At 48.7% G+C, this 15,208-nt stretch overlaps 1 annotated feature.

Moving 5' to 3' along the window:
• Positions 13,696–14,565: an enhancer, noted in NCBI's record as "H3K4me1 hESC enhancer chr7:100709117-100709986 (GRCh37/hg19 assembly coordinates)". NCBI's record gives its function as "activates a minimal SCP1, AML or CMV promoter by ChIP-STARR-seq in primed H9 embryonic stem cells {active_cell/tissue: H9 hESC(primed)}" and the evidence as "EXISTENCE:reporter gene assay evidence [ECO:0000049][PMID:30033119]".

Here is a 15,208-nt window from a genome sequence, read left to right as displayed (position 1 = left end):
CTCCCGTGTCAGCCTCCCAAAGTGCTAAGCAATGAGCTCTCAAGGATCCAGTACCCTTTGGAAGCTTTCAGAATGTTCTTTGATCCCAGTGTTCAGAATTTCACAGTGAGTACATCCTGCTGGGCATGTAGTGGCTCTTTTAAATCTGCCAACATGGCTGGGCACAGTGGCTCACGCCTGTAATCTCAGCACTTTGGGAGGCTGAGGTGGGTGGATCACTTGAGGTCAGGAGTTCGAGACCAGCCTGGCCAACATGGTGAAACCTCATCTCTACTAAAATACAAAATTAGCCGGGTGTGGTGGCGGGGCGTCTGTAATCCCAGCTACTCTGGAGGCTGAGGCAGGAGAATCCCTTGAGTGGGGAAGGCGGAGGTTTCTGTGAGGTGAGATTGTGCCATTGCATTCATTGCACTCTAGCCTGGGCAACACAGTGAGACTCCATCTCAAAAAAAAAAAAATCTGCCAACAGGTGCCTTGAGGTGTGGGAAATTCTCTCAAGGATTTTGTGGAAATTCTCTCCCCTCCATTTTCTCTGCTTCTTCCTCTGAGCTCTCACCATTCAGAGTTGCGCCTCCTGAGTGATTCCTCTAATTTTATATTTTCTCTTCTCTTTTCTTTTTCCTGTTTCTTTTTTTTTTTTTTTTTTTTTTTGAGATGGAGTTTCGCTCTTGTTGCCCAGGCTGGAGTGCAATGGCGTGATCTCGGCTCACCGCAACCTCCGCCTCCCAGGTTCAAGCAATTCTCCTGCCTCAGCCTCCCGAGTAGCTGGGATTACAGGTATGTGCCACCATGCCCAGCTGATTTTGTATTTTTAGTAGAGACGGGGTTTCTCCATGTTGGTCAGGCTGGTCTCGAACTCCCGATCTCAGGTGACCCGCCCGCCTCGACCTTCCAAAGTGCTGGGATTACAGGCATGAGCCACTGCGCCCGGCTTTTTTTTTTTTCCTGCTTTCTGGATGACTTCCTTAATTAAAACCTTCCAACCCTTCTATTGTGTCTTTCAAATCTGCCATCACGGTTTTTTGTTTGTTTGAGAGGGTCTCGCTCTGTCGCCTAGGCTGGAATGCAGTGGCTCAATCTTAGCTCACTGCAACCTCTGCGTCCTGGGTTCAAGAGATTCTTCGGCCCCAGCCTCCCGAGTAGCTGGGAATACAGGCGCGTGCCACCACGCCTGGCCAATTTTTGTATTTTTAGTAGAGATGGGGTTTCACCATATTGGCCAGGCTGGTCTTGATTTCCTGACCTCATGATCCGCCCACCTCGGCCTCCCAAAGTGCTGAGATTACAGGTGTGAGCCACTGCACCTGGCCTGAAGCCATAGTAATTGGAAGGTTTTAATTAAGGAAATCATCCAGAAAGCAGGAAAAAAAAAAAAAGAAAGAAAGAAATAGGAGTACAGTGGCACGATCTAGGCTCACTGGAACCTCCACCTCCCGGGTTCAAGAGATTCTCCTTCCTCAGCCTCTTGAGTAGCTGGGACTACGGGCGCCCACCTGGCTAATTTTTGTATTTTTAGTGGAGATGGAGTTTCACCATGTTGGCCAGGCTGGTCTTGAACTCCTGACCTCAGCCTTGGCCTCCCAAAGTTCAGGGATTACAGGCGTGAGCCACTGCACCCAGCCAAAAAAATAAAAAATATTTTTTAAAAATTGCATAGAACTATGCAGACACACACACACACATACATGCACACACACACATGAGTGCATGTAAAAACTACTGCAATCTGAGTAAGATCTGTAGTCTAGTTAATGGTATTGGACCAATGTCAATTTCTTTATTTTTATAATGTACTGTATCAGGATTGTGTTGGCAATTACTCGACTATGTACACTTGTCAAAACTCATTGAACTATATACTTAAATGGATGGTTTTTAGTTTATATAAATTATAGCCCAATGAAGCAAATTTTAAAATATAAAATATTAGGCCAGGCGTGGTGGCTCATGCCTGTAATCCAGCACTTTGAGAGGCCAAGGCAGGTGGATTACTTGAGGTCAGGAGTTTGAGACCAGCCTGGCCAAGATGGTGAAACACTGTCTCTACAAAAATACAAAAATTAGTCAGGCCTGGTGGCGGGCGCCTGTAATCCAGCTGCTTGGAAGGCTGAGGCAGGAAAATCGCTTGAACCTGGGAGGTGGAGGTTGCAGTGAGCTGAGATCGTGCCACTGCACTCCATCCTGGGCGACAGAGTGAGATTCTACATCAAAAAAAAAAAAAAAAGAAAAAAAGAAAAGAAAAGAAAAGAAAAAGAAAAAAGAAGAAAAAAGAAAAAAAAAGAAAAGAAGAAAAAAAAGTAAAATTGTAATCCTAGGCCCATCCCTCTTCTCCCAGTGCCAAGGCTTCAGGATCAGATGTGTAGTGATAGCGAAACATGTGTGGCAGCCCAGGTAGCCTCTTTTTACCTTTTATCCTATAAACCTCTCTGACTTTTGAAGCTGTGATCACTTCCTTCTCAAAACTCACGCCTCTCTAGGTCGACGCCCCCTCTTCCCCCTCCTCCTCTGCCCCCTCCCCTCTGCCCTGCTGGCTTCTCTTCCTCTGCCTGTTCCCCAATTGCTAGGCATACCTGTGCTCCCAGTGCCCGCAGCACCATCCACTCTGAACCATCTTTGCCATCCAGGCCCACTAGAGGGAGCTCTGTCCCCTGCTAACGCTGCCTGCTGGCTCCGGGCGATAGTCAATTACCCAGTCACCCATAAAAACCACCTTTCCTTCATCCAGTAAACCATAATGTTGCCACGGCAACTACTGCCTTCCTTGTCTTTTCCTCCTTAGCCAATTCTGTGGACTAATTCTAGAATGACTGTTCTTGCGTGGTCACTCTCCCCATCAGTGTCCATAGCAGCTCTTATAAGACCCCATGACAATACCATGTCCCTGCATGTTCAGCTGTGCCAGGCAGCTGGAGAAGGGCAGGGACGGTGCATAGACCAGTGGGCAGAGCCTGGGGAGGTCCCTGTCAGCCTGTGGTTGCTCCTGCCAATCATCATAGGCCCTATGTGTCCCTTCTAGGCTGCCAGACCCAGGGGCCCATCCTCAGTTCCTGTTTGTTCTGTTTTGTGAGACGGAGTCTTGCTCTGTCGCCCAGGCTGGAGTGCAGTGGCGTGATCTCGGCTCACTGCAACTTCCACCTCCTGGGTTCATGCATCTCCTGCCTCAGCCTCCTGAGTAGCTGGGATTACAGGCGCCCGCCACCACACTTGGCTAATTGTTGTATTTTTTAGCAGAGATGGGGTTTCACCATGTTGGCCAGGCTGGTCTTGAACTCCTGACCTCAGGTGATCCGCCCATCTCAGCCTCCCAAAGTGCTGGGATTACAGGCATGAGCCACAGTGCCTGGCCTCCAGTTCCTGTTTATACCAGGAAAACTCCCTCAAAGATTCCATTTTCTCCTTTTACTACTCCTTCCACCAGGGTCTCAGATATAACATCTAAAGAAGCACCAAAAATGTTACTAATCAGCATACATTTTTTGTGGATATGTTAATAATTAATATTTCAATGCAATACTTAAAAAATAAAATTACAAGACATCCATAATAAACATAATATCACAATTTTAAGTAAAGACAGAGTCAGTGTTACTGAGATTTCCTTTTGCCACTAGATCCTTTTAGCATATTTTCCATCTTTTGTTCTTGTTTTTGTTTTTGTTTTTAGAGACAGGGTCTTGCTCTGTCACCCAGGCTGCAGTGCAGTGCTGTGACCATAGCTCACTGCAGGCTTGAACTCCCAGGCTCAAGCGATTTTCTCACTTCAGCCTCCCGAGTAGCTGGGATTACAGGCACATGCTGCCACAGCTAGCTAATTTTTTGTATTTTTAGTAAAGACAGGGTTTCACCGTGTTCCCCAGGCTGATCTCAAACTCCTGAGCTCAGGCAATCCACTCGCCTCAGCCTCCCAAAGTCCAAAGTGCTGGGATTACAGGAGTGAGCCACTGCACCCGGCTATTTTATCTTTTGTAGAGATGGGGGGGGGTCTCACTGTGTTGCCCAGGCTGGTCTCAAACTCCTGGCCTCAAGTGATCCTCCCGCCTTGGCCTCTCAAAGTGCTGGGGTCACAGTAGAGACACAGTGCCTAGCCTATTTCCCATCTTAAAAACACAAGAGGCCGGGTGCAGTGGCTCACGCCTGTAATCCCAGCACTCTGGGAGGCCGAGGTGAGGGGATCACAAGGTCAGGAGTTCGAGACCAGCCTGGCCAAAATGGTGAAACCCCATCTCTACTAAAAATACAAAAATTAGCTGGGCGTGGTGGCCGGCACCTGTAATCCCAGCTACTCAGGAGGCTGAGGCAGGAGAATCGCTTGAGCCCGGGAGATAGAGATTGCAGTGAGCCGAGATCGCTCCACTGCACTCCAGCCTGGGCGACAGAGTGAGACTCCATCTCAAAAATAAATAAAAATTAAAAAAACAACAACAACAACACAAGAAAGCCAGTTCCCTGCTTGACCTTGCATGCCCCTACCAGTGAACAATGTCTGCCTTTGTTCTCCTTTTTCTCTGGGACCCACTCCAGACAGGCTCTTGTTTTCAACACTCCAGGGAAGCTGTTCTGGACAAGGTCATCAATCACCTCCCCATTGTCTGTGCTCCTCTTACTCAACTGTAGTATTTGACAGAGGAAGTCGCTTCCTCCTTGAAACTCTCTTCTCTTGGTATCTTGGCCTCTCATCTCCGTTGGTTCTCTTCCTACCCCCTGGCTATTCCTTCTCTGGGTTCTTCTACCATCCTGACCCTAAACATCAGCATGCGTTTAGACCTCCTCTCTGTCCACACTCCCTCCTTGAGGGATCCCATCCGGTCTTACGGCTTTAAATGACTGCCGTAGTCCATTTTGTGTTGCTATTAAAAAAAATACCTGAGGCTGGGTGATTGATTGATTGATTGAGATGGAGTCTCACTCTGTAGCCCAGGCTGGAGTGCAGTGGCATGATCTCAGCTCACTGCAACCTCCACCTCCCAGGTTCAAGTGATTCTCCTGCCTCAGCCTCCTGAGTAGCTGGGATTACAGGCACGTGCCACCATGTCCAGCTAATTTTTGTATTTTTAGTAGAGACGGAGTTTCACCATGTTGGCCAGGCTAGTCTTGAACTCCTGACCGCAGGTGATCCACCCCCTTCGGCCTCCCAAAGTGCTGGGATTACAGGCGTGAGTCACCTCGCTTGGTCAGAGGCTGGGTAATTTATAAAGAAAAAAGTTTTATTTGGCTCATGATTCCGATGGCTAGGAGGTTCAAAACTGGGCAGTTGTATCTGGTGAGGGCCTCTTTTGTAGAGATGAGGTCTCACTGTGTTGCCTAGGCTGGTCTCAGACTGCTGGGCTCAAACTATCCATCCACCTTGGCCTCCCAAAGTGTTGCTTCCAATTATGGAGGAAGGTGAAAGAGAGCTGGCGTGTGCAGAAATCACATCATGAGAGAGAAAGCAAGAGCGACGGGGGAGAGGTGCCAGGCTCTGTTTAACAACCCTGCTCTTGAGGGAGCTAATAGAGTAAGAACTCACTCACTTCCCATTCAGGGAAGACATTAATCTATTCATAAGGGATCTGACCCAAGACCCAGACACCACCCATTAGGCCCCACCTCCAACACTAGGATCAAATTTCAACATGATGTCAGATGTGGTGGCTCACGCCTGTAATCCCAGCACTTTGGGAGGCCAAGGTGGATGGATAGCTTGAGCCTAGGAGTTTGAGACCAGCCTAGGCAACACAGTGAGACCTCATCTCTACAAAAAATACAAAAATTAGCTGAGTGTGGTGGTGCATGCCTGTAGTCCTAGCTACTTGGGAGGCTGAGGTGGGAGGATCACTCGAGCCCAGGAGTTTGAGGCTGCACTGAGCCATGATCATGCCACTGCACACCAGCCTGGGCAACAGAGCAAGACCCTATTAAAAGAAAAAAAAAAAAAGCAAATTTCAACATGAGGTTTGGAGGTGTAAAACACCCAAACCATAGCAATGATATTATATCCATCCTTTATAGAATGGTAATTTCTTTTTTTTTTGAGATGGAGTCTTGCTCTTGTCATCCAGGCTGGAGTGCAATAGTGAATTCTTGGCATATTGCAGCCTCCGCCTCTTGGGTTCAAGTGATTCTCCTGTCTCAGCCTCCCGAGTAGCTGGGATTACAAGCACATGCCACCACACCTGGCTAATTTTTGTATTTTTAGTAGAAATGAGGTTTCACCATATTGGCCAGGCTGGTCTCGAATTCCTGACCTCAGGTGATCCGCCTGCCTTGGCCTCCCAAAGTACTGGGATTACAGGTGTGAGCCACTGTGCCTGGCCTAGAATGGTATTTCTCAATTTTCATCTCCAGACCAGACCTCCCCCCGACTTCCAGATTCATGTCCCACGGATGGCCCCACTGGACTTATCTACTTGTAGGTCTAACAGGCATCCCATTCTTAATATGCCCCAAAATGGATCTCTAGTCTCTTCCACCCCAACCTGCTCCCTCCCCACTCTCCCAGACATCACCATCTCTGAAATGCAAATCCATCCTTCCAGGTACTCAGGCCAGATCTCTCGTTGTCATCCTTGACTGCTCTTTTTTCCATTGCAGTGTGTACCCAGACCATTAGCGAACTTGTCAGCTCTGCCTTCAAAATGCATCCAGCATCCAACCTCTCCTCCCCTCCTCCACCAACCTTACACAGAGAAGAGCTACTGTCACCTCTGGCTTGAACCACTGCAGTAACCTCCTCACTGGCCTTTGAGTGTTTTTGTTCTTGCTTTCCTTTGATATTTACTGAGATATATTTTATTGGACTAATTATGGACTTATAAACATCTCATGCGTGCTTGAGAAAAATGCATCTTCTTTCAATTTCTGGGACCAGAATTGTGTGTGTGTATATATATATGTGTGTGTGTGTGTGTGTGTGTGTGTATATAATGAATATATATATTCATTAAATCAACTTTATAACTTTTAATTCCTCTCTATTATTTCTTCTTCTTCTTCTTCTTCTTCTTCTTCTTCTTCTTCTTCTTCTTCTTCTTCTTCTTCTTCTTCTTCTTCTTCTTCGTCTTCTTCTTCTTCTTCTTGTTGAGACAGGGTCTCGCTCTGTCACTCAGGCTGGAGTGCAGTGGTGCAATCATAGCTCACTGCAGCCTCAGCCTCCTTGGCTCAAGCCATCCTCCTTCCTTAGCCTCCCAAGTTGCTGTGACTACAGGTGTGTGGCACCATGCCCAGCTAATTTTTAAATTTTTTTTTTTTTTTGAGATGGAGTCTCACTCTGTCACCCAGGCTGGAGTCCAGTGGCGCGATCTCGGCTAATTTTTTGTATTTTTTAGTAGAGATGGGGTTTCACTGTGTTAGCCAGGATGGTCTCGATCTCCTGACCTCGTGATCTGCCCGCCTCGGCCTCCCAAAGTGCTGGGATTACAGGCGTGAGCCACCGCACCCTGCCAAGAAATGGAGTATTTGAATAAACTATTGATAAACATGAACTAATGACAATTATTTATACATACATTTTTTGAAACAGGGTCTTGCTCTGTTATCCAGGTTTGAGTGCAGTGGTGCCATCATGGCTCACTGAGGCCCCGACCTCCCAGGCTCAAGCAATCCTCTCACCCCAGCCTCCCGAGTAGCTGGGACTACAGGCACCTGCCGCCATGCCCAGTTCATTTTTAGATTTTTTGTAGAGACAGAATCTCTTTAGGTTACCCAGGCTGGTCTCAAACTCCTGTGCTTGAACGATTCTCCTGCCTTGGCCACGGAAAGCTCTGGGCTTACGGTGGTGAGCCCCTTTGCCAGGCAGTCTGCTTTCAGGTTTTTAAGACCTATCCACAGGCGAGTTTCTCTAGGAGGTGCATTGCTGGGTCATTCGGTTTACGTATAACTTAGTTTTTACTACTGAGCCAGATGCTGTCCGGATGACTGTGCCCACCTGTGCTCCCGCCAGTTCCCATGTCTCCAGAGTCGCCCTGCCATCAGATGGGTATAAAATTACCAATTACCGGTGAGACTGAATACCTTCTAACATGTTTGTTAGCCATTTAGGTTTCATAATCTTTGCCTTCCCTGGTGGTCTAGTGAGTAGAATAATAATATCATCTAAAAGAAAAGTAAAAAAAAAAAAAAAAAGAAATAATTATCTTTTCTTATTTTTCTTTGAGTTGTTCCCCTTCCTTCCTTCCCTCCTTTCCTTCCTTCCTTCCTTCCCCTCTCTTCTTTTCTTTCTTTCCAGGTTCTTGCCCTGTTACCTAGGCTGGAATGCGGTGGTGCGATCTGAACCTCAACCTCCTGGGCTCAAGTGATTCTCTCACCTCAGCCTCCTAAGCAGCTGGGAATACAGGCATATGCCACCACACCTGGCTACTTTTTGTTTGTTTGTTTGTTTGTTTGTTTGTTTTTATTTTTGTAGAGACAGGGTCTTGCCGTGTTGCCCAGGCTGGTCTCAAACTCCTGCCCTCAAGTGATCTACCCACCTCGGCCTCCCAAAGTTCTGGGATTACAGGCGTGAGCCACCACGCCCGGCTGGGTTGCTTGTCATTTTCTTATTGATTTATGGGAGTTTCTTGGATATTCATCGCTTGTCAATGTCAGACATTGCACGGGTCTTTTCCCAGGGAGATGTTCGTATCTTAACTGTTTCTGCAGTGCTCTTTGTTGAACAGAAAACTTATTTTTCCATATGGTTTGTGTTCGGGGGATCCAGCTCAAAAAGTCTTTCCCTATACAAAAGTCTCAAAGGGATTCTCCTACATTTTCGGCTGTTAGTTTTGTACTTTTCTGTTTCACATTTAGGTCTGAGCCTTTTGGGAGTTCACCTCTGTGATGGGTTTGTTAGTCTTTTGCTATTGATTTTTGTTTGTTTGTGTTTGAGATGGAGTCCTGCTCTGTCACCCAGGCTGGAGTGCAGTGGCGTGATCTCAGCTCATTGCAACCTCTGCCTCCCAGGTTCAAGTGATTCTCCTGCCTCAGCCTCCCCGGTAGCCGGGATTACAGATGCCCACCACCACACCCGGCTAATTTTTTTTTTTTTTTGAGACAGAGTTTTGTTCTTGTTGCCCAGGCTGGAGTGCAATCGTGCCATCTCAGCTCACTGCAGCCTCTGCCTCCCGGGATCAAGCGATTCTCCTGCCTCAGCCTCCCAAGTAGCTGGGACTACAGGCACTCACCACCAAGCCTGGTTAATTTTTTTTCTCTTTTTTTAGTAGAGACGGGGTTTTACCATGTTGACCAGGCTGGTCTTGAACTCCTGACCTCAAGTGAACTGCCGGCCTCGGCTTCCCAAAGTGCTGGAATTACAGGTGTGAGCCACCATGCCTGGCCTGCTATTGATTTTTAATGTTTATGATAATGAAAAACCATAATTTCTGCCAGGCAAATTTTTTGTAATTTACTGAGGTTCCTTGTAACCCAGAACATGGTCAACATCTGTTAATGGTTCATATGGGGCCCTCTTGAGGCCCTGACTCAAAAACAAACAAGCAAAATCCGAAAGAATAGAAACAGAAAAGATGAGATCCACAGAACACATTCATGTATATAAACTTAAGACACAGAGATTAAACAGTATAATATAACTTTCAAAACTATATTAATAAGGCTGGGTGCGGTGGCTCACGTCTGTAGTCCCAGCACTTTGGGAGGCCAAGGTGGGCGGGATCACTTGAGCCCAGGAGTTTGAGACCAGCCTGGGCAACATGGCAAAACCCTGTCTCTACAAAAAATACAAAAATAGCTGGGCGTGATGGTGTGCGCCTATAGTCCCAGCTACTTGCGGGGGCTGAGATGGGAGGATCATTTGAGCCCAGGAGTTTGAGACCAGCCTGGGCAAAAGGGCAAAACCCTTTCTCTACAAAAAATACAAAAATTAGCTGGGCGTGGTGGTGTGCACCTATAGTCCCAGCTCCTTGCAGGGGCTGAGATAGGAGGATCACTTGAGCTCAGGAGATGGAGGCTGCAGTGAGCTGTGATCGCACCACTGCACTCCAGCCTGGGTAAAAGAATGAGACCCTGTTTCAAAAAAAGACTATATTAATATACATATATATGTGTATATATATATATATATTTTTTTTTTTTTTTTTTGAGACGGAGTCTCTCTCTGTCACCTAGGCTGGAGTGCAGTGGCGCAATCTCAGCTCACTGCAACCTCCGCCTCCTGGGTTCAAGCGATTCTTCTGCCTCAGCCTCCCGAGTAGCTGGGACTACAGGCGTGTGCCACCACACCCTGCTAATTTTTTTCTATTTTTAGTAGAGACGGAATTTCACTGTGTTAGCCAGGATGGTCTCGATCTCCTGAGCTTGTGATCCACCTGCCTCAGCCTCCCAAAGTGCTGGGATTACTGGTGTGAGCCACCACACCTGGTTTATTAATGTATTAATGCATACTTAATATATATTAAGTGAATTGGAGTGAGTGGGCAACGATGGAGGCGGGGAGGTAGAAGGCACAGGAGTGTAGTGGGGAATCTGATGAGGGATGAGTCTTGTTCAGACTGTTGGCAATGAAATGATCTGAGATGTGTAACCAGCTCGGCCCTCTGCATTGAGGGTCAGTCAAAAGTCCTCTAGGCCGAGTGCAGAGGCTCACGCGTGTAATCCCAGCACTCTGGAGAATCCCTTGAGGCCAAGAGTTCATGACCAACCTCGGCAACATGGCAAAGCCCCCATCCCTACAAATAGTTTAAAAATTAGCTGGCTGTGGTGGCGTGCGTCTGTGGTCCCAGCTACTCAGGAGGCTGAGGCAGGAGGATGACCTGAGCCCAGGGGGTGGAGGCTGTAGTGAGCCAAGATCACGCCACTAAACTCCAGAGTGGGTGACAGAGCAAGACTCTGTCTCGAAGGAAGAAGAAGAAGAAAAAAAAAGGCTGGGTATGGTAATGCTTGCAATCCCAGCATTAATTACATGCTTGTAATCCCTTACTTTGTGAGGCTAAGGCGGGTGGATCACTTGAGGTCAGGAGTTCGAGACCAGCTTTGCCAACATGGTGAAACCCTGTCTCTACTAAAAATTAAAAAAAATTAGCTGGGTGTAGTGGTACACAGGAGCTACTCGGGAGGCTGAGGCAGGAGAATCGTCTGAGCCCAGAAGGCGGAGATTGCAGTGAGCCGAGATTGTGCCACTGCACTCCAGCCTGGGCAGCAAGAGTGAAACTCCATCTCAGAAAACAAAACAAAACAAAACAAAACAAAACAGAGGGAAATTGGCTGGGAGTGGTGGCTTACGCCTGTAATCGCAGCACTTTGGGAGGCCAAGGCAGGTGGATCACCTGAGGTCAGGAGCGCGAGATCAGCCTGGCCACCATGATGAAACCCTGTCTCTACTAAAAATACAAAAATTAGCCGGGTGTGGTAGCAGATGCCTGTAATCCCAGCTACCCAGGAGGCTGAGGCAGGAGAATCGCTTAGACCTGGGAGGTGGAGGTTGCAGTGAGCCGAGATTGCACCATTGCACTCTAGCCTGGGTAACAGAGCGAGACTCTGTCTCAAAAACAATAAAAAAAATAGAGGGAAATTGATTCACAGAGACAGGCCTGCAGTGGCAATGCCATATGAAGACGAAGGCAGGGATTGGAGTGATGCTTATACGAGCCAAAGAATGCAAAAGATTGCCAGCCGACCACCGGGAGCTGGGGGGAGAGGCATGAACAGATTCTCCCTATGGGCCTCATAGAGAACCAGCCCCGCGGATACCCTGGTCTTGGACTTCTGTCCATCAGAACTGTGGGACAATAGATTTCTTTTGTTAAAGACCATCAGTGTAGTACTTTGTGATGGCGGCCCCAGGGAACTAGTATGAGCAGTTAGCTCCGCCCCGAGGTGTGTATGAGGTCTTGATCTGGTGCCTGGAGGATGAATCTTGTGGGGACAGCCGGGCTCACCCTCAGGCTCCTGGGCTCAGCCTGCCCTCCAGGTTTAAGCAGCGAAGCCACAGCAAACCCTTGGCCGTTTTAGCTTCAAATCAGTGCAGTGGTGCTCTGCGGCATCTCTGACTTGTTGAACCAAATTTCAGGCCTGGATATTCTCAACTCGGGTGTCTGCAACGCAGCCTCCTTCCGTAAGGGAGGAAGATGAGAAAATGCTGAATGCTTGGGCCTCTCAACTCTGACATGAGAATGCCCAAGAGGTCGTCTCTGCTGCGTCCATCTGGTCTACCTCTGCAGCATAGAAAGAGATACTTCCAGTGCTGTTGACAGAGGCTTCTCCCTGCTCAGGGCAGAGAATCCCAACACTGTGTATGTGTCAGGAGAAACCTGGCTCTGCCAGCCATGAGCCTGGGCTTGGACTGGTATTAGAGACGGGCAGTCCGCTTGCCTGAGCGTGCTATCATAGTGGGAAGCAAACATGCACAGGGCCTGGCCCAGTGGCTCATGCCTGTAATCCTAGCACTTTGGGAGGCTGAGGCAGGAGAATCACTTGAACCCAGGAGGCAGAGGTTGCAGTGAGCCGAGATTGCACCAGCGCACTCCAGCCTGGGCGACAAGAGTGAAACTCCGTCTCAAAAAAAAAAAAAAAAAAAAATCAAGGGAAATATGATTGCATCTGCAAGGCTGGAGGCCACAGTTACCAGGGATGACAGGGCTCCAGCCCCTGGCAAGCCCTGCATGGTGGCCTGAGGGCTGTGGTCTCACTCTCTCTGGAAGCCTGGAACCCTTTCAGGGCATGCTGGGTTGAGAAACGGAGGTTGGGGAGCTATGAATTAATGTGTATGCATGAATCCTGGTACCAGCCCTGACTTATACCAATGGCTCACAAAGGGCTGCGTGATTATTGCAATCAGGGCAATTTTGGAAGGCATGGGAAATGCCTCCACCTGGCAGGGGCTATCAGTGGCCTGTGTTGGTCATGGAGAATAAAGTCATGCAGTCCTCACCTGGCATTACGGGCCCTCTTTTCCCAAAGATTCACAGTTTGAATTTTTATTTATTTATTTATTTTGAGACGGAGTCTCACTCTGCCGCCCAGGCTGGACTGCAGTGGTGCGATCTTGGCTCACTGCAAGCTCCGCCTCCCGGGTTCACACCATTCTCCTGCCTCAGCCTCCCGAGTAGCTGGGACTACAGGTGCCCACCACCACACCCGGCTAATCTTTTTGTTTTTGTTTTTGTTTTTGTTTTTGTTTTTTGTATTTTTAGTAGAGACAGGGTTTCACCGTGTTAGTCAGGATGGTCTCGATCTCCTGACCTCGTGATCTGCCCGCCTCGGCCTCCCAAAGTGCTGGGATTACAGGGGTGCGCCACTGCGCCTGGCCCAGTTGCTCTTGACCTTAGCACACCACAGCTCCTGGAACTCCACCTTGATGATGCTGACTTGACTGCCTGCCCCCTCTTCCCCTGCGCTGCCTCCCGCCCTTGGCTCCCACCAGGAGGCACTGAGCTAATCAGGCTGATGATCACCCAGGTTCAATTCCACTTTCCCTGGCTACGACCTGCTGTAAATTTCCTTAGCTTCCTGGCTCCCCTGTGAGTCCTGCCTCTCATCAGGCGGTCTGACTTAGGAAGCCGCCAGCTCCCCGACCTGCTGTATCATCGCAGATGAATCAGGCTTGCCTACCTTGGGGGTGTCATTTCAACAGGCCCTACAGAGTCACATCACCCACCGCAGCAAAGCACGACTGGTCACGTCTTCCCCCGGGTCTAGCACAACCTCTGGAGATCTAAACGGCAAGACCCCTCCTGTTCTTCAAAAGCCGTGTTATAATCTGCCTGCAAGAGAGCTGAATTTTACAAGATGCTTTGGAAAATGATTTCCCTCATCTCCATGCATCCCCAGGCGGGGGGAGAGGCATACATTTTCATTTATTGGTCAGGAGATGGTCCTTGAACTTCCAGCCTCCTGTCATTCTTGCCCCACCCCCAGGGTGTCTGGTGACTGAGGGTGACCTGAAAAGACTCAGAAGAGGAGAAGGAGAAAGATCAGACGCTGTGTTTATGCTCAAGCCAAGGGCCCCCTGGGATGCAGAAATAAGCTCTGCTTACCATTCCATTTGTCTTGATCCCTTCCAGAAAGGGAGAGGCTCGGCCGTGGGAGGAAAGCAGAAGACAGAGAGCCCCAGGGGGCCCACAGCTTGCACTGCCTGAGCTGGGCTCTGTGGCCCACAGGGGCTGGCTTTCTGTGGGGTTGGTGTAAGCATGCGTGAAGTAACCAGAACAAGTGAGAACTTGGTCACGTCGTGTTGATACAAGCCCAAAAGGATTATAAGAAGGACAGGGTGAATGTAACAGGAGACGGTTTTTTGTTTTTGTTTGAGACGGAGTCTCCCTCTGTTGCGCAGGCTGGAGAGCAGTGGCATGATCTCGGCTCAATACAACCTCTGCCTCCCAGGTTCAAGCAATTCTTCTGCCTCAGCCTCCCAAGTAGCTGGGATTACAGGCACCCGCCATCATGCCCGGCTAATTTTTGTATAGCCGGAGTTTCACCATGTTGGCCAGGCTGGTCTTGAACTCCTGCCCTCAGGTGATCCACCCACCTCGGTCTTCCAAAGTGCTGGGATTACAGCGTGAGTCACTACGCCCAGCCAGTAGATGTTTAAAAAACTTTGTGGATACGCCTGTAATCCCAGCACTTTGGGAGGCCAAGGTGGGTGGATCACTTGAGGTCAGGAGTTCCAGACCAGCCTGGCTAACATGGTGAAACCCCCCACCATCTCTACTAAAAATAACAAAAATTAGCTGGTGTGATGGCAGGTGCTTGTAATCCCAGCTACTAGGGAGGCTGAGGCAGGAGAATTGCTTGAACCTGGGAGGTGGAGGTTGCAGTGAGCTGAGTTCATGCCACTGCACTCCAGCCTGGGTGACAGAGTGAGACTCTGTCTTAAGAAACAAAACAAAACAAACAAACAAACAAAAACAACTTTGTGGAGATGAGTTGTTTTTGTTTTTTGTCTTGAGATGGGATCTTGCTCTGTGGCCCAGACTGGAGTGCAGTGACATGATCATAGCTCACTGCAGCCTCCAACTCCTGGGCTCAAGTGATCCTCCCACTTCAGCCTCCCGAGTAGCTGGGACTACAAGTGTGCACCACCATCCCTGGCTAATTTTTTGTAGAGATGGGGTCTTGCTATGTTGTCCAGGCTGGTCTTGAACTCCTGGGCTCAAGCAATCCTGCTGCCTCGGCCTCCCAAAGTGTTGGGATTACAGGCATGAGCCACTGTGCCTGGCCAAGAGAGATGAGTTTGTTTGTTTGTTTGTTTGTTTGTTTTTGAGACAGGGTCTCACTCTGTTGCCCAGGTTGAAGTGCA

This window comes from Homo sapiens, chromosome 7 (assembly GCF_000001405.40).
Source record: "Homo sapiens chromosome 7, GRCh38.p14 Primary Assembly".
NCBI classification, from domain to species: Eukaryota; Metazoa; Chordata; class Mammalia; order Primates; family Hominidae; genus Homo; species Homo sapiens.
The sequence above is the reverse complement of the archived record's forward strand: the minus strand, read 5'-3'. Positions and strand labels throughout refer to the sequence as shown.